This window comes from Homo sapiens, chromosome 14, assembly GCF_000001405.40.
Source record: "Homo sapiens chromosome 14, GRCh38.p14 Primary Assembly".
Taxonomy (NCBI): Eukaryota; Metazoa; Chordata; class Mammalia; order Primates; family Hominidae; genus Homo; species Homo sapiens.
The window spans coordinates 35,226,463-35,250,102 of record NC_000014.9 but is presented as its reverse complement, the minus strand read 5'-3'; the positions used below and the strand labels follow the sequence as shown (position 1 = coordinate 35,250,102).

At 39.9% G+C, this 23,640-nt stretch overlaps 1 protein-coding gene, 1 long non-coding RNA gene and 1 pseudogene across 10 annotated transcripts in view; 1 reads left to right on the top strand and 2 right to left on the bottom strand.

Moving 5' to 3' along the window:
* Positions 1–23,640, bottom strand: part of PRORP-PSMA6 (PRORP-PSMA6 readthrough) — a 195,633-nt gene that overhangs the window by 67,369 nt on the left and 104,624 nt on the right. The gene's annotated exons all lie outside the window — the stretch shown is intronic.
* PRORP (protein only RNase P catalytic subunit) overlaps positions 1–23,640 on the bottom strand; it is a 155,784-nt gene that overhangs the window by 27,520 nt on the left and 104,624 nt on the right. The window lies entirely within an intron of this gene.
* On the top strand, positions 14,450–14,989 carry RPL7AP3 (ribosomal protein L7a pseudogene 3; annotated as a pseudogene).

Here is a 23,640-nt window from a genome sequence, read left to right as displayed (position 1 = left end):
CTATTTTTTGTATTTTTTATAGAGACAGGGTTTCGCCATGTTGTTCAGGCTGGTCTCGAACTCCTGGCCTCAAGTGATCTGCCCACCTGGGACTCTCAAAGTGCTGGGATTACAGGCATGACCCACTGTGCCTGGCCCCTTTTCTTGGATAAAACCATGTGAGTGTGCACACCAGGGAGGATGTAAAGTGATTTAGTCTTTGACCTGCCTCCTCTTTACACATTCACATAGCTATAGTTCAAAGCCTGAACTTTGAAAGAAGAGCAAATTAATTTTAAATGTATGATGATATTTAAGACAGTATCTTTAGTTATTCATAAGCTGAGATATTTGAAATTCCATAAAATATGGAAGTCCTTAAAATAACCACAGGTAACCCACATAGCGTTCTGATATAAAGGATTTCTAATACCAGTTCTACAATTGTTTGGGAGACTAAAGCCAGGAAATATACTATCACACTGGTCTTTAAGAACAACAACAACAAAAAAGCCAGGTAATAATTCAATTTCATTTTTTTTGGTCCTGCTCTGTTATCCAGGTGGCAGTGCAGTGGCATGATCATGGTTCATTGTGGTCTCACTCTCCCAGGCTCAAGTGATCCTCCCACCTTAGCCTTCTGAGTAGGTGGGACTGCAGGTGCATGCTATCGTACTTGGCTAATTTTTTATTTTTTTATTTTTTGTAGAGATAGGGTCTCATGATGTTGCCCAGGCTGGTCTTGAACTCCTGGGCTCAAGCAATCCTCCTGCCTCTGCTTCCCAAAGTGCTGAGATTACAGGTATGAACCACCATGCCCAGCCCATCTTCACTTTTTATGTGATTACCTCACTAAAGATAACCTCATGGTAATTTGGGGCTTGAACTGGAATTAATTGTCCTGGGTGGGAATTTTCCTATTTGAGTCTGGCTGGATTTGAGGATATAATGGGGTTAAGTCAAAAGCAGACAGGAGAAAGCAAGAAAAGTAAATATTCTTTCATGTGCATTTATTAATTTTGACAATTATTTCCCACAGACTGAGAGAACGCAAGACCACTTTAGGGAAAAAGACAATGATTGATGAACTCTCTTGAGGCAGTGTTCCAGAACTCAGGATATCACAAACATAATGCCTGTAATTGATGCATTGTGCTCGCCACAAAATGTACAGTGGAAAAAAACAGGGAACTCATAACTTACACTAGTCCAGTGCGGTTTTCTACTTGTTTTTATGATGCTATTACTCTCTGTAGGTTAGCTAATACCCAGTTTAAGTCCCTTCTTTGTCTTCGTTCCTCTTGTTTTTCTCTTGAGCTAAGTTTTGGGACGAGAATCCCTGTCCCAGACATAGAGTGACACTGTATTTCTCAAGTGACTGCTATATTCAACATTTTTCTGTGTACCTCTGAAAATGCCACCAAGGTGGAGAGTGCAGGAAACCTAACAAAGTTGTGGCTTGAGGCTTCTAGTTTCAAATATTCTTGTCATATTTTCATTAGCAGCCTGCTCCATTGGTGCTGCCTTGGCTTCAGTTCTACCTTTGACAGCTGTTGCTGCTTGCAGAGAGAGAAAGAGATCATGATTTATTTAAAGGAAGCTTGATCATATTGTCTTGCTGGAACTACTTCAGAGCTATATACCATACAACAGACAGATTAGCACTTGATGAAAATGAGAGAAATGGAAGATGAGAAAAGGAAACTTTCACCAGGTGGTATGTAAGCTGCAAGCTTTCTAAGTCTGGTGGTGTATCCAGAGGAGAGAGGCTGAGGCTGACTGAGCAGGAGTCCTACTTCTGCCTCTTTGTACACAGATCTAAAAGTATTTAATGACTGACTCACTATATAAAGCATTTTGAATCTCTTTGGGAAAAAATGGATATATGGATATATACAAAATATTATTACTTCATTATAATGTCATAAATGATCCCACTGGTTTACATTAGACCCACCATGTCCTATATCCTGCTTTCGTCAGTCTTTGGTATTTTAGGGAGATTTCAATTATCTCCTCTCGTCCTTAGTTAATGAAACAATTCTACGGAGGAAGAGAAATCCCTTCCTGCTTTGGGAACATCCTGTCAAGTGTGGGATGTTTCCTGCTCACCACTATCTTCTCTGATGCCATTAGCACCCACACAGTCATCCAGCCTTTTAGAAAACTATTAAATCGTTGGCCTAGATGGATTTCCTCAGCTAGCTGAGAGTCAAAGCTGTCTAGAAGACAGATTTGCCTCCTGACTCACAGTGTGACTTTTCTCCAAACATTTATATGCATTTGGTCTTTTTATTTTCTCTGTAAGATATCTGTGTTTCCTCCCTATCCTGTAAGGCAAGAAAGGATAGGTATTCTGAAGACTGAAAACTAATTTCAGGAAGATTAAACTAACTTATTTTGATATGGAAATATCAAAATTTGATTAAATTTCCACTCTCAAAAGGTTTATTAAAAATTCACCCTAGGGTTCTAGGTCCAGTCCATATATAAGGAATAATTTGCTCACTCTGGGAAAGTATATGAATACTGTCAGGATCAAAGGGCTCCATTTCATGACTAGAAGAGAAAGAGTAAGATGAGTGGGGAGTTCAGAAGCTTGAAAACTTGTGTAGCCTGGCCATGGCTGCACTAATTTACACAGCTTTTGTCTTGCTACAAAGCCCCACACAGTTGTACACTATGGTTATGGATTCTGTTTTCTGGTAAAGTACTGTCTGTTCGAAATATATAAAATACCTGGCTATATAAAAAGACACCTTATAATGGATGACTGGAAGCAGAAAAAATAGTAAGAGAAAGGAAGGGAGGAAGGGAGGGAGGGAGAGACACCTTAGACATCTCCAGTTCATGTTTTAAGCAATCTATGCAGCTCTGCGGTGGAAGGACTTATACATAAATAAAACTGGATAGACACATAATAGAGACCTTTCCAACTTCTATTACTTAATAGTTCAATAATCATAATTAAGAGCACAAGCTTTGGCATCAGGCTGCCTGGGTTCAGATTCTAATTCTACTATGTACCAACTGTGTGACCTTGGGGAAGTTACATTTCCTCTCTGAGCCTGTTTCATCATTGGTAAAGTAGAAATAATAATTGGGTTATTATGAGGGTTACTTTAGATAATGTATGTAGACACAAAGCACATGGGAAAATACTCAATAAATGTTAGCTATTACTACGCAATCGGGACGGGATTAGGGAATTTAGAGCTCCCAATCCTTACTATATTCTCCCCGCATCCAAAACAAAGAAAGAGCAAAAAAGAAAAGAAGAGAGAGGAAAGAATAAAACAAAAGACAGAGAAAAAAGAGTTTCTTTTGGCATTATCACACATTTGGGTGGTTTTTGTGATAATCTCTGTCAACACTTGGTAGGAGTAGAACATAAACTTTCAGGTTAAGGCAAACTGAACACATGCATCTAATCTTAACCCCACTTGAAATTCCATTAAAACTATAATATAGACCTTCTAAAATCACAAATCCACAATGACTTTAGAGACAATAGCAACAAGATTTTGGAAGCTGGAAAGCAGATAAACAAGTGGTAACTGACTTTACAGATCCAACAAAGTCAAATCTGAAGAGAGGTAAGCTAAGAACCAACCCAATTTTCAAAAGACTCCAGAACTGGAAGTAAAGGAGTAAGACTTAATGGAAGTGTGTGGCTGAACTAAGGAGAACTGGGGAAAACTGCTGAAGAAGGATTAGATTCCTAGACTCAGATACCCTTGCCCCCTCAGTTACATATTGCTTTTGCTGGGGTAGGAGATAGAAGTCTGAAGATTCATTATTTGAGTTTAGAGAGAGAGAACCAGAAAACACAGAGGAAGGAATCATCAACAAAATAACCAACGAACATCTCCCCAAATAAGAAGATATCAGTTTCTAGAATGAAATAGTCTGCGTGTTCAACTCAATGAATGAAAATAGACCATACAAAGTCACAGCACCGTAAAATTTTAAAACACTGGAGACAAAAAGAAGACTCCAAAAACTTCCAGAGAGAATAAAGCAGATCATATACAAAAGATAAGGAGCCAGAATGTCTTCAGACTTCAAGAGTAACACTGGGAGCATAAAACACTGCCTTCAAAATTCTGAAATAATATTATTTCTAACCTGAGATCTATTTTCAGCTATACCATCATGTGTAAGAATAATATAAAGGCATTTTCAGACACGGAAACTCATAAAAATTTTACCTCCTATGTACCCTTCTTTGAGAAGCTCCTGGAGAACTTTTCACTAAAGAGACTAACCCAAGAAAGAGGAAGACAGGAAATTGGAGTTCCAATACAGGAGAGCGGTAATGGGAATCCCCCAAAGGATGGTGAAGGGAGATCCCAGGATGATTGCTGTGTATCAGATACAGAGGGCAATTAATCCAGATTGAAAAGTGACTCAAGAGATAGCCACATTGCATACTGTCATCACCAAGATCCTCACTGCCATCACTTTATTATTTTTTTGAGAGAGGGTCTCATTCTGTTGCCTAGGCTGCAGTGCAAGTGGCACAATCAGGGCTCACTGCAACCTAGACCTCCTGGACTCAAGCGATCCTCCTTCCTCAGCCCCCCAAGTAGCTGGGATTACAGGTATGCACCACAACACCTAGCTAATTTTTTGTATTTTTAGTAGAGATGGGGGTCTCACCATGTTGCCCAGGTTGGTCTTGAACTCCTGGACTCAAGCAATCTGCCCGCCTCGGCCTCCCAAAGTGCTGGTATTAGAGGCGTGAGCCACTGTGCATGGCCACCATCCTTTTAACTGGAGCACAGAATGCCTGAGTGAGCCTGTATTTGGCTTGTTTTAACTGTAGTCTAGAGTTTCCATACTCCCTGACATCCCATGATGCCGTAATCAGTGAAGACTTGCATTTTATTGAAAATGTAAAAAATTTTTGTTTTGACCTACTCCTGAAAGCTGGAGGAAAGCCATGGTGAGTTTAGAAGCAGAAAAACAGCAGCTTGTTCTGTTTGACCATATTTTCTGTTGGATGTTTTTGGGTACCTGGTCCAAACTACAGCTTTGCCAGATGCCCTGATGTGGTAAACCCTCTGTTTTGTAAGACTAGCTCTGACTTCCCCAGAAGGGGCTCCCAAAGAATAAAGCCAGATCATAAACCAAAGACCTTGCTCAGCTTATCTTCTCAAGGGAGCTTTCATCTGACAGTGACAATCTTGCCCCTTCCTCACACAGCTAGAGTTGAGCTTACTCCTCAGTTTTTCAATCCTAAACAATGAAAAGCAAGAAAATTATTTACACAGAAGTCAGGATTATGTTACCTGACTGGGGTGGAGAGTTGGGGAAGAAGAAGTTAGCAGGGGAAAGGAGACGAGGTTAGAAGAGGTTAAACAGGACACACAGGGAACTTCTTAACCCAACTGGTGGGTACAAAGGTGTTAGTTTTATTATTACTCTTTAAACTACACATTTATATTAAAACAGTCTTTACACATGATATATTTTATGCGCGCACACACAGAGGCTTTGTATTTATTAGAGAACCACGTAAAATTGCCAATATTCTACCATTTTTGAGGTATAAAAATAGCAACCTCATATGTTTAAACCCAATCATTCAGGCTCAGTAATGTACTTTGTGCCTTTGAGGCAAATTAAGAGCCTAAGTTTCCCCATGTGCAAAATGAAGTTAAAAAAAAAAAAAGATAATATCCAAGAAGATAAGTAAACATAAGAGAAAAAAAGAATTTAAAAAAGTGGGTTTCTGCATTAAATTATATTTAATAAACTCTCATAATCGAGTAACTCTCATATTATGTATGTAACACCATAATACTGGTCCTCTAAAAAGTTAAAATGTTAGTCTCTAATGGAGGAAATTCTTTGTGTTTCCCAGAGGGAAGATTTGGCAAATATTACATTAACATAACTATAGTTCAATATAACATAACAATGAGGACTTATGAAAAGTTTTTAGAAATCCCCAAGCCCTCACATCTCCCTTACTTCTGCTTTTCTTGGCAGAAATGGGACACAGAAAGTGGAAATGGTGGGAAGCAATAATGGGGATTGATGTGAGGAATTAGAATATAAAATGAGACAAGTGTATTCACTATACTTGAATCAAGGCAGAAACATGGATGGTCTGAGTTCGTTCTTGGTAGAAGAGCTGTTTTAAGCCTCTTTTTTTCAGGTATATAAATTTAAAAAATGACCTAAACCAAAAAGAAGAGTCTTCCATTTTTTTCACCTTTAGCTATGAGTTACTAGGCAATTATGATATGTCAAAAGTACTTTAAATATTAATGTGCTTATACACATCACCACTTAATCCTCATAGACACCCTTATGAATTTGGTACCATTATTACCACCCACTCCTACTTCCCTTTTACTTATGGGGAAACTGAGCCACAGCAAGGTTAAGGAACTAGTTCAAAGTTACAGGCCAGTAAGTAGCAGAACTAGGTTTCGAACCTAGGCAAACCTACATTCTAACCACAAACCTACATTCTTAATCAGTCACTCTTCTTGTAGCATATAACTCTCAATTTTAACTCCTTTCTTTTTAAAACATTCCCTTATTAAACCTGTCCCTTATTCTTTTTTTTTTTTTTAGACATGGTCTCACTCTGTCACCCAGACTGGAGTGCAGTGGTGTGATCACGGCTCACTGCAGCCTCAACCTCCTGGGCTCAAGTCATCCTCCTGCCTCAGCCTCCCAAGTAGGTGGGACCACTGGGGCGCACCACCACACCTAGCTAATTTTTGTATTTTTTTATAGAGATGAGAGTCTCACTATGTTGCTCATAGGCTGGTGTCAAACTCCTGGGCTCAAGAGATCTGCCTGCCTCTGCCTCCCAAAGTGTGGGGATTACAGGCGTGAGCCACCATACCGGGTCCTGTCCTTTATTCTACAGCTAACTGCGACTATGATTATTCCAGTAACATCTTTTGCATCCTTCTTAAGTGAACTGTGGGAAATCCTTAGGTACTTTTGTTGGAAACCTAACACTGTATTTCTCAGCTGGAGTGTACATGAGCAGTACTTGGCAATACACTGAAGGTACTTGAAGCCATAGGATAAACAAGACATAAATTCCTGGAGTGACCATTACTTCAGGTTCAGTTTTTTGGGAGAAACTCCTTGTAAAAACAAAGGAAACAAACACAGATATACCATGATGTCTTTGAATGCAAGATCTGCACTAAATTTTAAGATAAAAGAAATAACACTCCAAAGACATTTTCCACTTCCCTCAGGGCTATTTGCTCCAATCTTTGGGGACAGTAGCTCTTTCTCCTCTGCTGGTAAGAGCACTCTGCAAATAATGTCAGGAGTGATCACTGGATTGTAAAATATGTCAGCTAAGCACAGCACTCTACCCAGGTCAGGAACAAAGTCACAATACCAAACATGGCCCTAATCTGACTATTTAAAACTTCCAAAATATTGCACTTGGAAATACGTGAGATATAGCTAGCTAGCTAGATAGATGAAAATGTAAATTTTAGAACAATATATTAATTATGCCATATATGTGCAAAATACGTATGTATGTATGTGCTGAAAATAGTCTTAAAAGATACACACTACACTCTTATCAGTGGTCTCTTCTGGGGAATAGAACTAGGGAGATGGCTTTCATTTTCTATCATTTGATATGATTTGACTCCCCCCCAACAATAAACATGTACACTATCTTTGTAAAGGAAGAAAAACAATACTCAAAGAGTAAAAAACACCAACAGCAGAACATACAGTAACCCCAAAGACCAAAAATAAATGAGGATCCCTAGAGATCTTCCAAGAGAGTAACCCTGTGAATGTGTCTAAAGGTTAATCTGAAAGTCATCACAATATATGCAGAGTAGGTTCAGCCTGAGTTTATTAAATTCAACACAAATATTTATATGGTGTCTACATATGATAGGTACTACTTGAGGTGCAGGGATATTTAGATCTTTCTATCATAAGATTCAGTTCTTTTCTTTAAATAATTCATTCCATAGTAGGAAGACAGACATAAATAAATCACTAAGATGTATATTATTCTAATGCAATACAAATAATACACAAATTTACCAAATGTGTGTACCTTTTCTGCTCCAGGTACTACCTGAAGCACGGGTGGATATAAGGGTAAACAAGACATGGTCCCTGCCCTCAGTGAGTTTAGAGCCCAGTGGGAGTAAATAAAAGGTGTCAGTAGAATCACCAGGGTAGGAGAAAAGAGAAGCCTATGAAAAGTTTTTAAAGCTAAAATGGAACTCCCCAGTTTAGAACTTCTTTAATCTTCTAGATTAAAGAATCAGCAAATGCAAAGGCACAAATGAGTGAAATGTTACGGTATGTTGAGAGAATAACAAGAATTTTAGGACCAGTGGAGTGTACAGTGCAGGGTGGGAGAGAAGAAAAGCTGAGGAGAGGTGAGTCGAGGCTGGGAGGTAGGCAGGACTCTTGCATAAGGCACACAGGATCTTGGGTTTTGTGATGAGAAGCCTCTGAAGGGTGGTAGTAGCAGGAAAGTGACAGTTTCAGATTTCCATTTCAGAAAGAACATTCTCACTGAGGTTTGGAATGTATTGAGGCCAATTATTAGACTTCAGCAACAGTGAGAGATGAAAAGGGTCTAAGACCAAAATAATCCAGAGCAGACTGTCCAAGAGAAATATAATGTGAGCCACAAATGAGAGCCAAAAGTTTAACTGTAAATTTGGATGCTCAGGTCCCTGATATAAAATTGCCATCCTCGTATACTTTTTTTTTTTTTGAGACGGAGTCTCCCTCTGTCACCCAGGCTGGCGTGCAGTGGCATGGTCTCAGCTCACTGCAACCTCTGCTTCCCGGGTTCAAGAGATTCTCCTACCTCAGCCTCCTGAGTAGCTGGGATTACAAGCATGTGCCACCATACCCCACTAATTTTTGTATTTTTAGTAGAGACAGGGTTTCACCATGTTGGCCAGGCTGCTCTCAAACTCCTGACCTCAAGTGATGCTCCCGCCTTGGCCTCCCAAAGTGCTAGGATTACAGGCGTGAGCCACTGCGCCTAGCCTTCCCTCCCATATATTTAAAATCATCTCTAGATTACTTATAATAGTTAATATAATGTGAATGCTATGTAAGTAGTTGTTATACTGTATTATTTAGGGAATAATGACAAGAAAAAAAGTCTGTACATGTTTAGTACAGACACAATTTTTTTCAAATATTTTTGATCTGTGGTTGGTTGAATCCACGGGCGAGGGGAACCCACAAATATGGAGGGCTATTTCACACAGCACATCTCAATTTGGTCAGCCACATTTCAAGTGCTCAACAGACCCACTGGCTAGTAGCTACCATATTGGATAATGCAGGGCCAGAGGGACTAATTGAGGAGGCAATTTCAGCAGAATTTGTTGATTTAATCAATGTGGAGGAGGAGGAACAAGGAGGTAGAAATCACTGTGATTGCTGGCTTGGGTAACTCAATAGGTGAAGATATTAAATTTTAAGAACAATCTAATAGCCAGAAAACTGCTATGAACTTCTGATATGTTGTAGAATAAAAAAATGAGGAGATCCAGTGTGATCCTACATGCTAGTCCAAGGATGTTTACTTGAACTAAATGTTGGTTCTTTTCACCTGTATAGCTAATACAGCATAGGAAAAGTGACACCAGCAAAAGAAGGTGGGAGGCACCACAGCTGTCCCTGAAATTATTTGCTGTCTCAAAACACAATTGGTTGCCTTGGAAATGGCTGTAACTACCTGCATGTGTGCATACACATGTAGCTATGGATGGGCGTAAACAAACAAAGATCAAGAAAACCCACCCGGGTAAATTTTAAACCAAAAAAAAAAAAAAAAAAAGATGGTTTAAAAGTTGACCACTGCCCAGGAAGCAGGAACCACAGTATTTTTAAAGAATGCTAAAATAAAAATGTGTATATGCAGAATGCAAGGAAACTGGCATAACTTTGGTGGTAGTGAAATGATTGATGAACCACCAACTCTAATTCCAATCAGTACAACATTCCTACTAAGCTCTTCAACATCTTTTCTAATTTCTTCTTCTTTTTTTTTTTTTTTTGAGATGGAGTCTTACTCTGTCACCCAGGTTGGAGTGCAGTGGCATGATCTCCACTCACTGCAACCTCCGCCTTCCAGGTTCAAGCGATTTTCCTGTCTCAGCCTCCTGAGTAGCTGGGACTACAGGCGCACGCCACCACGCCTGGCTAATTTTTGTATTTTTAGTAGAGACAAGGTTTCACCATGTTGGCCAGGCTGGTCTCAAACTCTTGACCGCAGGTGATCTGCCCGCCTCTGCCTCCCAAAGTGCTGGGATTACAAGCATGGGGCACCGTGCCCAGCCAACTTTTCTAATTTATTCTATAGAGGCCAGAGCAGAAGACCCTTGGTTTTCTTTAGTTGTACAGGGCAGGACAGTTCATGATTTGGCATGACACTGGTATGGCTTCATTCACAGAATGCTTGCAGGCAACGTCTGAAATGCCAAAGAAACAATGTGTCATGTACATGTAACCTGTCAAAGGTCACGAGAATCTTGTTTCTAAAATTTAGACCAGCCATCTAATTTTATGAACACTATACAGTAGTCTGTTCTTGTTCTTCACCAGCTCGTTGCCTGATCTAATAAACTCTTAATTATAAGCTGGTATTCAAATGCTGAGGAGAAAAGGGGCTCCACCTTGATCATGTACTTTGAAAAAATATTGTTTGTTTTTAGGGAAGCAGACATCTCTGGAGAAAGCATAGGAAGTGGATTTAGTGTAGTTTGTTTTTTTTTTTTTTTTCTTGAGACGGAGTCTTACTCTGTCACCCAGGCTGGAGTGCGGTGTTGCAATCTTGGCTCATTGCAACCTCCGCCTCTGGGTTTTCCTGCCTCAGCCTCCCAAGTCGCTGGGATTACAGGCACCTGCCACCACACCTGGCTAATTTTTTTGTATTTTTAGTAGAGACGGGGTTTCACCATGTTGGCCAGGCTGGTTTTGAACTCCTGACCTCAAGAGATCCGCCCGCCTCGCCTCCTAAAGTGCTAGGATTATAGCCGTGAGCCACCACCACACCTGGCCTAGTGTAGTGTTTTGAGAGCTGTTACCTCTGGGCAAGTCACAGCCTTTTAAGCCAGTTTCCTTATATGTAAAGTAAGAAAAATACAACACTTAGTCCATAGGGATGTGTGAGGATCAAATCACTTAATATTAATGAAAGGACTCTATAAGCTGTAAAAGACTACGTGTTGTTATTGTTAGGCTGTAAAAGCACAATGTCATACATTTATATATAGCCTTGTGATGCCTTAAAAAAGCTTTGATATGCCTTACTTCATAGGACTGCTTAAGCACAGTGTCCAGCTTTAATAAGAGTATTTGGTTTCTGGCCCTTCAGATAAAATGCAGAGAAAAAAAGACGTGTTAACTTAGAATGGCTATGTGCACTGTATTTAAAGAGTTTTGTTTGTTTCACTTAATGAATCTTAATCTTAAAAAGGTTAAGATTTTAAGAGAATTAAGAGGTTTAATGACAACAGAGTTGACATATTTTTCCCAAAGTCCTAGACTTTCATTCCTTTAAGCACATTCTTTTCCTCTTTTTTAGATTCCACTGTCATCACTTTAGTTCAAGATGTCATTAGGTCTTTTGGTTGGTCTTTCAATGCTGTTTCTCCTGTGACATTGCCAGGTTAACTTTCCTACAACCTGGCTTTCTTTGTGTCATTTTCCTATACATACTCATCCTCCAAATCCTAATTTCTGGCATTGGTAGGCTGTCCAAACCTACAGGTGTAAACAAATCCAGAGAACTACCCAGTGAGGGGCGGTCTAGATATGTGGGTTTGGGAATTACAAATGCATACCACAGGGCATGATAGTGCGGCACGGTAAAAGACCACAGACTTTGGTGTCAGATTGGCATTTCAATTCTGAATCTGTTACTTTTATTAACGATTCAGGGAAGTGACTTAATTGCACCTCAGTTTTCTCATTTGTAAAATGAGAATCTAATTTCTTCATAGGATTGTTTAAGCACAGTGCCCACCTTTAATACAGTGTTTGGTTTCTGGCCCTTCACATAAAACGCAGAGAAAAAAAAAAAAGATGTGTTAACTTAGAATGGCTATGTGCACTGTATTTAGAGTTTTGTTTGTTTGACTTAATGAACAGATATTATATCTAATTTAAAAATTTAAGGCCAGGCACGGTGGCTCATGCCTGTAATCCCAGCACTTTGGGAGGCCGAGGTGGGTGGAGCACAAGGTCAGGAGATCAAGACCATCCTGGCTAACACAGTGAAACCCCGTCTCTACTAGAAATACAAAAAAAATTAGCCGGGCTTGGTGGCATACGCCTGTAGTCCCAGCGGAGGCTGAGGCAGGAGAATCTCTTGTACCCGGGAGGCAGAGGTTGCAGTGAGCCGAGATAGCACCACTGTACTCCAGTCTGGGCAACAGAGCAAGACGCTGTCTCAAATAAAAAATAGAAGTTTAAGAAGGTGAAAAGGCAAAATTGGAAAGGGGAACTATAAATATTTTAATATATTCAGATATCTCCCTAGTCAAAACATTAACTGTAAATTGATTTAAGTTACATGGTCATTTTTGCCTGTGGAAGAGGATAGATTTGAAAGAAACAAAACTGAAGATGAGAAACCAGTTAGGAGGCTATGATAGGGATTTAAGCAGGTACTAACAAGGATCTGATGAGAAAGATATGGTAAAAGAAGAAGAGAAAAGAATGGATTTGAGAAACAGAGCTGGGCATAGTGGTTGATGCCTGTAACCCCAGCACTTTGGGAGGTCTAGGTGGGAGGATCGCTTGAGTCTGGGAGTTTGAGATCCGCCTGGGCAACATAGGGAGACTTTGTCTCTACGAAAAATTTAAAAATTAGTTGGATGTGGTGGCGCACGTCTGTGGTCCCAGCTACTCAGGATGCAGAGGCAGGAGGATCATTTCAGCCTAGGAGGTCAAGGCTGCAGTGAGCTGTGATGGCGCCACTGCACTGTAGCCTGGGTGACAGAGCAAGACTCTGTCGAGAGAGAGAAAGAGAGAGAGAGAGAGAAGGAAGGAAGGAAGGAAAGGAAGGAAGGGAAGGAAAGGAAGGAAGAGAAGGAAGGAAGAGAAGGAGGGAAGGAAGGAGTGAAGGAGGGAAGGAGGGAGGGAGGAAGAAAGGAAAGAAAAGAAAGAAAAGAAAAATGAAAGAAAGAAGGAGAAAGAGAGAGAAAGAAAGAAGATGAGAGAGAGAGAGAAATAATTAGGAGGTAAAATTGGCAAGACTTGGTGAACATTTGGTACCACCTATTGGTGTAGATGTCTGGCAGGAAGATGGCAAGTTCAGTTTTGGACATACAGTATTTAGTTTCAAGTACCTGTCTAAGGTAAAGATGCAGAGATAGAACATCAGAGAACACCAACATTTAAGGAGTAAGAGAAGGAAGGGAAGTTCAAAAACAAGAGAGAACAAGGAATGGTCAGAGAGTGTAATGAGAAGGATAAGAATGTGAAGTCACAGAATTCAAAGACATAGACAATTTCAAGAAGAAAGGAATCTATAAAGTATTAAATGCAGAAAAAGAGTGATAAAGACTAAAATATGTTCATCAAAACTGGCAATTAGGAAGTTACTGCTGTCCTGAGGGAGAGCATTTTCAATGCAATGATGGAGACTAAGCCAGACTTCAGTGGGCTTAGGGGTTAGGGAGCAAATGGGTAGCAAGAAAAGAATTGTATACCAGTCTTTTGAGAGGTTTAGATGAGGAGGACAGAAACTAGAGCAAGCTAGCTATTTATGAGTTAGTGATTAAAGCAATGGAGATCCAAGAGAATCAGAAAAGCATGTCTCAAAGAGTCTACCATGGTATTTCAAGAAAACAGATAAATAGATCAGTAGGTTAAAATATAAAGAACAGTGTGTTACACGGGAAAGAACAAGGAATTTGGAATGAGACATGTCTAATCCTGTTACTTTGCCATTTACTAGCTATGAGACAAGTTACTTAACCTTTTCTGGGTCTTAGTTTCCTTATGCTTTTTTTTTTTTTTTTTTTTTTGGAGATGGGGTCTTGCTGTGTTGCCCAGGTTGGAGTGCAGTGGCACAATCTCGGCTCAATGCAACCTCCGCCTCCTGGGCTCAAGATGTCCTCCCACCTCAGCCTCCCCAGTAGCTGGGACTATATGTGTGTATCACTCTGCCTGGCTAATTTTTTGTTTTCTGTTTTTTGTGGTGTTTTTTTGTTTGTTTTTTTGGTAGAGATGGGTTTTGTCACCTTGCCCAGGCTGGTCTCAAAATCCTGAGCTCAAGCAATCCACCACCTCGGCCTCCCAAAATGCTGGGATCACAGGCATGAGCCACCACGCCTGGCTAGTTTCCACATTCTTAAGGAGGTAATACCAATAACAGCTGTAAGAATTAAATGAGGTACTCCATATACAAGTGTCTAGCATTGGCAACTTTTGCTTGGTCTACAGAAGGTACTAAAAAATATTAGCTTCCCAAGAGAAGAAGCAGAGGCTGTTTGTCCAGGCCAAGAAGAAAGCTGCTGGCAAAGGGGACGTCCCCACTAAAAGACCACCTGTCCTTCGAGCAGGAGTTAACACCATCACCACCTTGGAGGAGAACAAGAAGGCTCAGCTGGTGGTGACTGCACATGAAGTGGATCCCATCAAGCTAGTTGTCTTCCTGCTTGCCTTGTGTCATAAAATGGGGGTCCCTTACTGCATTATCAAGGGGAAGGCAAGACTGGGACATCTAGTCCACAGGAAGACCTGCACCACTGTCAACTTTACACAGGTTAACTCGGAAGACAAAGACACTTTGGCTAAGCTGGTGGAAGCTATCAGGACCAATTACAATGACAGATATGATGAAATCCGCCATCACTAGGGAGGCAATGTCCTGGGTCCCAAGTCTGTGGCTCGCATCACCAAGCTCGAAAAGGCAAAGGCTAAAGAACTTTCCACTAAACTGAGTTAAATGTACACTGTTGAGTTTTCTGTACATAAAAATAATTAAAATAATACAAATTTTCCTTCAAAAAATATTAGCTTCCATTTCCCCTTGGAGGTTACTGGTAACATTGAAAGAGTGCCATTTCAATTAAGCAGTGAAGATGTATCTTAAGTTGCAGGATTAAAGCATTCAGTTATAAGATATTAAAAATAGGGAACAGGTGTGGTGGCTCATGCCTGTAATCCCAGCACTTTGGGAGGCCAAGGTGGGAGGATCACTTGAAGCCAGGAGTTTGAGACCAGCCTGGGAAACAAAGCGAGATTCTGTCTCTACAAAAACATTAAAAAAAAAATTAGTTGGGCATGGTGGTGTGTGCTTGCAGTCTCAGCTACTCTGGGAGCTGGGTGGGAGGATTACTTGAGCCCAGGAGTTCAGAGGCTACAGTAAGCTATGATCACACCACTGCACTCCAAACTGGGTGACACAGTGAGACCCTTACTCTTAAAAAAAAAAAAAAAAAAGGAACAACAGTTGAAAGAGGAAAGAAAGGATTTGAGAGAGTTAATCACATTTGAAGTCTAAAAAAAAATGAAGTAAGTAAAAGTGCCAAGAGGGAAGTAAGGCTAGGGGCGTAGGAGCCTTTGTGTCTCATATATGATTAGCATACATCCAAAAATTATTTGAAAGAGTGTCTTACTGCATCATATAAATGACATTTGCAGCAGAGATGGTTTTAAGAGGCTGAACATGGACAGAAAAGATCAAAGGACAAACAAAGCTATCTTAAAGAGGAAAGTTGGTGCAGTTCATACCTAATGTTGATCATTTCAGTAAAGATCTAGGAAACACAGTATTTGGAAAAAATAGTTTCCAAAGCAGATGCGAATCCAAGTATCCTTGGGCCTAATTGTTAATGAATGTGAAACACACGGCTACAGAATCTGTGGGTAGAAAACATTCCCTAATTGCACAATCTCTAAACCTTTCCATCTGATTTCAACTACAATGACGTGCAAGTAAACATACTTCTCACCTTTTCCAACCCTACATGCACAAAGAATTACTCTCTTCGAGCACACATTTCATTGAAAGATGCGTCTTGACATGATTTCTTAGACAAATTCAAAGTTATTTTCTATATAAGGGAGTAGAGTAAGTAGTATTAATAAGTGTTTTTCAGATCCATATTTTGATCATAAGGAAAGCCTGAGCTTTAACAAACTTAAGAGGACTGAGCAGAGTCACGAAGCAAGAAAATATTATAATGGAATCTAATGGTATTATTTTTCTACATCTCTCTTCCTAATAAATATATGAATTGTAACTTTGCCTTCAAAATGCAGAGCACAGACTTCTTACCAATTGCACATTTACTGAACATAAATCAAGGTGGAAGAACCACTGCAGAGCTCAGGAAAAACACATGCTGTGATCATTGTAAGGGAAAAGAAATGTGAACATAGTTTTTCTGTGCAGGGAAAAAAAAAGGAAACGAAAAAAATTAGAGAACTACTCAAAGACAAAGGAAAAAAATCCTTCAATACTGTAGAAGGTAAAGAAAGAAGCAACAAGCAAATTTTAGGGTGGCCTAACACAGGTAATCTGAGGAAATACAAAGGATGATTTCTCCACAAAATCCTCTTCCACCCTTGCACCATGGAGAGGACTGCATGCTTTTCTTAAACGAAGGGATTGCACGTTGGCAATTGTTAGAATGTGGAAGCTGACTGATTTTACTATAGGAAATTAGTTTTGACAGACATCCTAATTAAGCACAGTAGATAAGACTACTGTATAGAACTAAGCTGGCTGTGCACTGAACAACTCTAGAGGCAATATTCATTGTCTCTACAACAATTCTAGAGACAAAGTTACAATTCATATATTTATTAGGAAGAGAGATGTAGAAAAATAATACTCTAGAGTTATGCAATGCCGTAGCCGATGGTAAGTACCTATCAGAAACAATGTTAGCTCCATGAGTGAAGGGAGTTTTCTCTACTTAATTCATTGGTGTATCCCTGGCGCAAAAAACAGGGCCTGATGCTTATGATGATCAATAAGTATTTGCCGAATGGGTTGACGAATGAAAAGAAAAGGGGAAACTGAAGTTTGAGAGCACAGAAGAGAGATGGATTTCTTAAAACTGAAAGAGATTAAGAGAATGAGTCCAAAAATCCAGAACCTTGGAATGGAACTCCTACCTGTTGTAAAAGAGGAAGGAGGGCTGGGCGCAGTGGCTCATGCCTGCAATCCCAGCACTTTGGTAGGCTGAGGCGGGCAGATCATGAGGTCAGGAGACCAAGACCATCCTGGCTAACATGGTGAAACCCCGCCTCTACTAAAAATACAAAAAAATTAGCCGGTCGTGGTGGCATGCATCTGTAGTCCCAGCTACTCAGGAGGCTGAGGCAGGAGAATCACTTGAACCTGGGAGGTGGAGGTTGCAGTGAGCCAAGATCATGCCACTGCACTCCAGCCTGGCAACGAAGAAAGATTCTGTCTCAAAAAAAAAGAGGAAGGAGAAGGAATGGTAGAAACAGTTTGGGACGTTGCCAGATTTTACCATGCTCTGGCAAGGACTTACTATGGGCCAAGCAAAAATTAAGTAATAAAAAGGGGTGGAAACACCACGTTAGCAGAGATGGAGGTTTTCTTCTTAATTGGCAGGCTAAGTATGTCAAGAAAAGTTTACATAATTGCTGTTTTTCTATCAAAAACTTCTACATGGGTTGAGGCAGGAGAACTGCTTGAGGCCAGGAGTTAGAAACTAACCTGGGCAACACAGTGAGACCCCATCTCTACAAAAATTTTTTTTTTTTACATTAGCTAGGCATGGTGGCGCATGCCTATAATCCCAGCTACTTGGGAAGCTGAGGTGAGAGGACTGCTTGAGGCCAGGAGTCTGAGGCTGCAGTAAGCTATGTTTGTGTCACTGCACTCCAGCCTGGGTGACAAAGTGAGACCCTGTCTCAAAAAAACTCCAAAATGAAAAAAAAAAAAAATCTGCATGGCCATACCAAACAGGGGGATGGAAGTCAGAATAAAAGATATGATTTTCATTATGATATAAACCATCTCCCCAAATATTAATAAAATCTTGAACCTATGATTAAGTGAGATAAACACTGCAGAAGTGATCTGTAAACTGTTATATGCTACCATGGTATAAGCTGTTTTTCTTATCCAATTAACAGAAACAGAGTTCATAAAGATTAACCAGCCATTTGATGTCTACTGACTATATATTGTGCTTTAGCAAGTATGCATGTATATAATAAAGTTCATAACTTATGCAATTCCTTGTGTATATGTGACTTTCATTCTGTTTTATTTATCAGGTTTCAACTAGACCTAAAGTTCCTTAGATTGAATAAACCTATACTTTACAACCCTCAACATCATCTTTACGTGATCCATAAACACATATCAAATTTCTAAGGACCCCTGGGGTATGGCTGATTCTAAGGACTTTCCTTTCACATTCCCAGTATTTTTAAATTTCAGCTATAAAAATTTATTTCAAGAGAGTTGGCGCCTCTATCTGTCCTACTATGACTACTCCAATTCATCTCAACAAGGAAATATGTTAATTTGCTCTAAATTCTGAGCAATGCAAATGGACTTACTAACCATATGTTTTCTGTTCACAATCTGTTTTCTGCCAGGATTATCTGGCATAGCTCATGTATAATTTCCATTAAAACAACAAAGCCAAACAAATACAAAAACACATAGCTCTTTGCTGTACATAAAAAAAAATCTATAGTTGGCTTTTGTGGGAGGAACCACTTCCACTCTCAGCCACTCAAGGTTTATCAGGATATACTAGTTGAGAAGCGTGAAAAATAAAAACTGGTAATTTCCCATAACCAAAACAAAAAGTGTTACAAGATACTTAAATGATCCTTGGCAATACTTTTATTCTATTTAGTATATGATTAGGAGTTTAGTAGATTAAAAAACCCACCAAATAAAAGACAACTGGTATATATTCTCCTCAGACATGGTAATGTGATGTAAGGTAGTAAACCTTGAACTTCATTTTTGTATGGGTAATAAATTCACATGGCTCAAACTCCAAAAGAAACCAAATGATATTCAATAAAAAGTTTCTCTCCCACTCCATCCCCCAGCCACCTAGCTGTTCTCCCGAGAGGCAACCAGTATTATCCATTTCTTCAGTAGCCTTCTAGAGACTAGACATCAACAAGCAAGTGTGTGTGTGTGTGTGTGTGTGTGTGTGTGTGTGTGTGTGTTCTCTTTTCCTGTCTTTACACAGTTGGTGGCATACTGCATAACATTTCTCAGTAGTATCTTAGGCACTACTCCCACCATGCCATGTTTAGGCAACAGGCTTCTTGCATGTCTTCTTTGATTGAACAATACCAGCTTCTCAAGTGTTGTGGAGGAGTTTGAGACCAGCAGACTTGGAAGAAAAGTGTGTTGTAATTAATTGGTAATATCTGCCATAACCATCTATTCCTATTCTGTGCTTTTACCGTATCTTCCACATACCTCTTTCACAAGAATCACCAGGTTTCACTAACTTGAAAAGGCATATCTGAGAGTACGGACTATGTCCTTTCATAATTGTAATGCAGGATACCTACCCAGCACAGTGCCTAACATATAAGTACTCGATGAATACTTACTAAATGAATCCCACAGTCAAAATCCCCAATGTTTAGGGAGAACAAGACAGCTTTTCATATTCCTGAATGAGTTACTTTCTCCCGCTCAAAGATATACTTGATTGACCCTATAACTGTAGATTTGTAATGAAATCATATTTGAAAGCTATGTGATACTGCTTTCCCCATCTCTATCAGAATTTACAGTAATGGGTTGGGCGTGGTGGCTCACGCCTGTAATCCCAATACCTTGGGAGGCCAAGGCGGGTGGATTGCTTGAGTCCAGGAGTTAGAGACCAGCCTGGGCAACATGGCGAAACCCGTTTCTACTAAAAATACAAAAATGAGCCAGGAGTTATGGCGCATACCTGTAATCCCAGCCACTAGAGAGGCTGAGGCAGGAGAATTGCTTGAACCTGGGAGGCAGAGGTTGCAGTGAGCAGAGATTGCACCACTGCACTCCAGCCTGGGCCACAGAGTGATACTTGGTCTCAAAAAAAAAAAAAAAAAAAAGAATTTACAGTAATGACATCTGGCTGGCACTCGAGCTTCTTGAGAAAAAAAATATGTACCCAGAAGTTTACACAGGATCCTATCATATATGTAATCAACTAGTTTCTAATCACTGCCCTCTAAAGAGAAAATGATTGTGTAACATGTGATTTCTGAAACAAAAGTGGGGTCTAGGGAGGTCAGGCGATGGTGAAAGAAAACTCAATGGAAACATCATGAGTGATAAAGAAAGCTTGTGATTGTTTGAAAAAAATCCAGTGAATGAAAAAAATTGACAAAGAACATGTCAATTAAGCCTTTCTCATTAAAGACCCCACCTGCTAATCATTCTCAAAGCTCTTTCTAAACTTACATTTTTCATATAAGTACTGCCATCTACAGGGCATAATGTAAACAAAGTATTTTATGAGGGGTGGGGAGTAACTGAAATGAAAAGGTTGGCATACTATAGGCCAACATCTTCATGCCCTTTTAAAATACCAGCATTAATGGGGAAAAGACTCCCTATTCAATAAATGGTGCCGGGATAGCTGGCCAGTCATAGCAGGAGAATGAAACTGGACCTTTACCTTTCACCATATACAAAAATTAAGTCAAGATGGATTAAAGATTTAAACATAAAACCTCAAACTATAGAAATCCTAAAAGAAAACCTAGTAAACACCATTCTGGACGTCGGCCTTCAGAAAGAATTTATGACTAAGTCCTCAAAAGCAACTGCAATAAAAACAAAAATCAACAAGTGGGACCTAATTAAACTAAAGAGCTTCTGCACAACAAAAGAAACTATTAACAGAAGAAATAGATAACCTACAAATAGGAGAAAATAATCGCAAACTACGCATCCAACAAAAATCTAATATCCAGGAATCTATAAGGAGCTTAAGCAATTTAATAAGCAAAAAACAAATAGTCCCATTACAAAGTGGGCAAAAGACATGAATAGACACTTCTCAAAAGAAGACATACAAGTGGACAACAAACATGAAAAAATGCTCAATATCGCTAATCATCAGAGAACTATAAATCAAAACCATAATGAGATCCCATCTCATACCAGTCAGAATGGATATTGTTAAAAAGTAAAAAACAGATGCTGGCAAGGCTGTGGAGAAAAGGGAAGGCTCATACACTGTTGGTGGGAATATAGATTGGTTCAGTCACCATGGAAAGCAGTTTGGAGATTTTTCAAATAACTTAGAACTACCATTCAACCCAGCAATCCCATTACTGGGTATATATTAAAAATAAAATCATTTTACCAAAAAGACACATGCACTCATATGTTCATCGCAACATTATTCACAATAGCAGAGACATGGACTCAACCTAGATGCCCATCAATGGTGGACTGGATAAAGAAAATGTGGTACATATGCACCATGGAATACTATGTGGCCACAGAAAAGAACAAAATCATGTCCTTCGCAGCAACATGGATGCAGCCGGAGGCGATTATCCTATGCAAATTAACACAGGAACAGAAAGCTAAATACTGCATGTTCTCACTTACAAGTATGAGATAAACATTGGGTACTCATGGATATAAAGATGGCAACAACGGACACTGGGACTACTAGCGGGGAGATGGAGGGAGGAAGGCAAGGGTTGAAAACACTAACTATTGGGTACTATGTTCACTACCTGGGTGAGGGGATCATTCGTAATCCAAACCTCAGCATCGTGCAATATATCTGTGTAACAAATCTGTACATGTAGCCCCAGAATCTAAAACAGAAGTTGAAATTATTTTTTTAACTCTATATTTATTCAGAGTTACATGTTATGTTTTCTTTTTTCACACACAAGGGAAGGCAATAATGCTCAATGGCTGGCTATTATCTTTTAAAAATTAATATTGTAAAGCTAGCACTTATGATTTTAAGTCTTCATTTATTTATTTATTTTGAGACGGAGTCTTGCTCTATCGCCCAGGCTGGAGTGCAGTGGCGCGATCTTGGCTCACTGCAACCTCCACTTCCTGGGTTCAAGCGATTCTTCTGCCTCAGCCTCCCAAGTAGCTGGGACTACAGGCGTGTGCCACCACGCCCGGCTAATTTTTGTATTTTTAGTAAAGATGGGATTTCACCATATTGGCCAGGCTGGTCTCGAACTCCTGACCTTGTGATCCACCGACCTCGGCCTCCCAAAGTGCTGGGATTACAGGCATGAGCCACTGCGCCCGGCTGATTTAAGTCTTTAAATTACCTGTTACGTATTTCTGCGGGCTTGTGCAAAAAAAAATTACTTGTTACTTAACTGTGAACAATAAAGAAAAAAATTATAATTTTAAACTAAAATTTTAAAAAAAGTTTAAAATATGCCCAAATTCCTATTTATTTCATTTTGCTGTAAGATATAAACTGGGACTCTCTGAGAAGTAGAGAGTCCCTGGGAGAAGTAAGGATATTTTTGGTGGGAGTTCTCTTATGTAAGGATAGACCAGGATGGAAGAGGAAGAAGAACATTAAAAGCTAAAGGACTGGTTCAGATTTATAGGTGCAAGCTGGAGAAACCTGAATGAAGGAAAGCACAGATGATTTCCATGCTTCTAAGGGGACATTATGCCAATGTGTTGTATTGTCATAACATAACTTTTTTTTTTTTGAGACAGAGTCTCGCTCTGTCACCCAGGCTGGAGTGCAGTGGTGCGATCTCAGCTCACTGCAAGCTCTGCCTCCCACGTTCTCGCCATTCTCCTGCCTCAGCCTCCCAAGTAGCTGGGACTACAGGCGCCTGCCACCACGCCCGACTAAATTTTTTGTATTTTTAGTAGAGACGGGGTTTCACCATGTTGGCCAGGATGGTCTTCATCTCCTGACCTCGTGATCCACCCACCTCGGCCTCCCAAAGTGCTGGGATTACAGGCATGAGCCACCGCGCCTGGCTAACATAACTTTTAAGGAAAATAAGTGGAATCCATTAAAACTGTTTCTTATAATCAAAAGGAAGAAATCTGATTTTAGAGATAACCAAAATCCACCAATATCACAAGGACGGTAAGAATTTTTCTTGGGGCCAGGCACGGTGGCTCACGCCTGTATCCCAGAACTTTGGGAGACAGAGGCGGGTGGATCGCTTGAGCTTAGGAGTTCAAGACTAGCCATGGGGAACATGGTGAAACCCTGTCTCTTCAAAATATACAAAAATTAGCCAGGTGTGTTAGTGCATGTCTCTAGGCCCAGTTACTTGGGAGGCTGAAGTGGGAGGATCACCTGAGCCTGGGAGTTTGAGGCTGCAGTGAGCCATGATTGCACCACTGCACTCCAGCCTGGATGATACAGAGAGATCGTGTCTCAAAAAATAATGAAATAATAATAATAATTTTTGCTTGTTTGTTTAACCATCTATTTTCAATTGGGTATTAAATTTTATCTTTCTCCTCAAATCTCGTCACAGTAAAGTTGCCACAAGTTTGGTAATAGAACAAAGTTAGGCAATATTTATTACTCCCCCCAACCCATCACTGCCTATCTCCAAAGTACTACTTTATTATGTGGTGCTGTCTAAACAGCGTTGTTGTCTGAACAGTGGAGTCAGCCCCTTTTCCACTCTCCAAATCTGATTATCAAAGTCTAACCTGCCAAG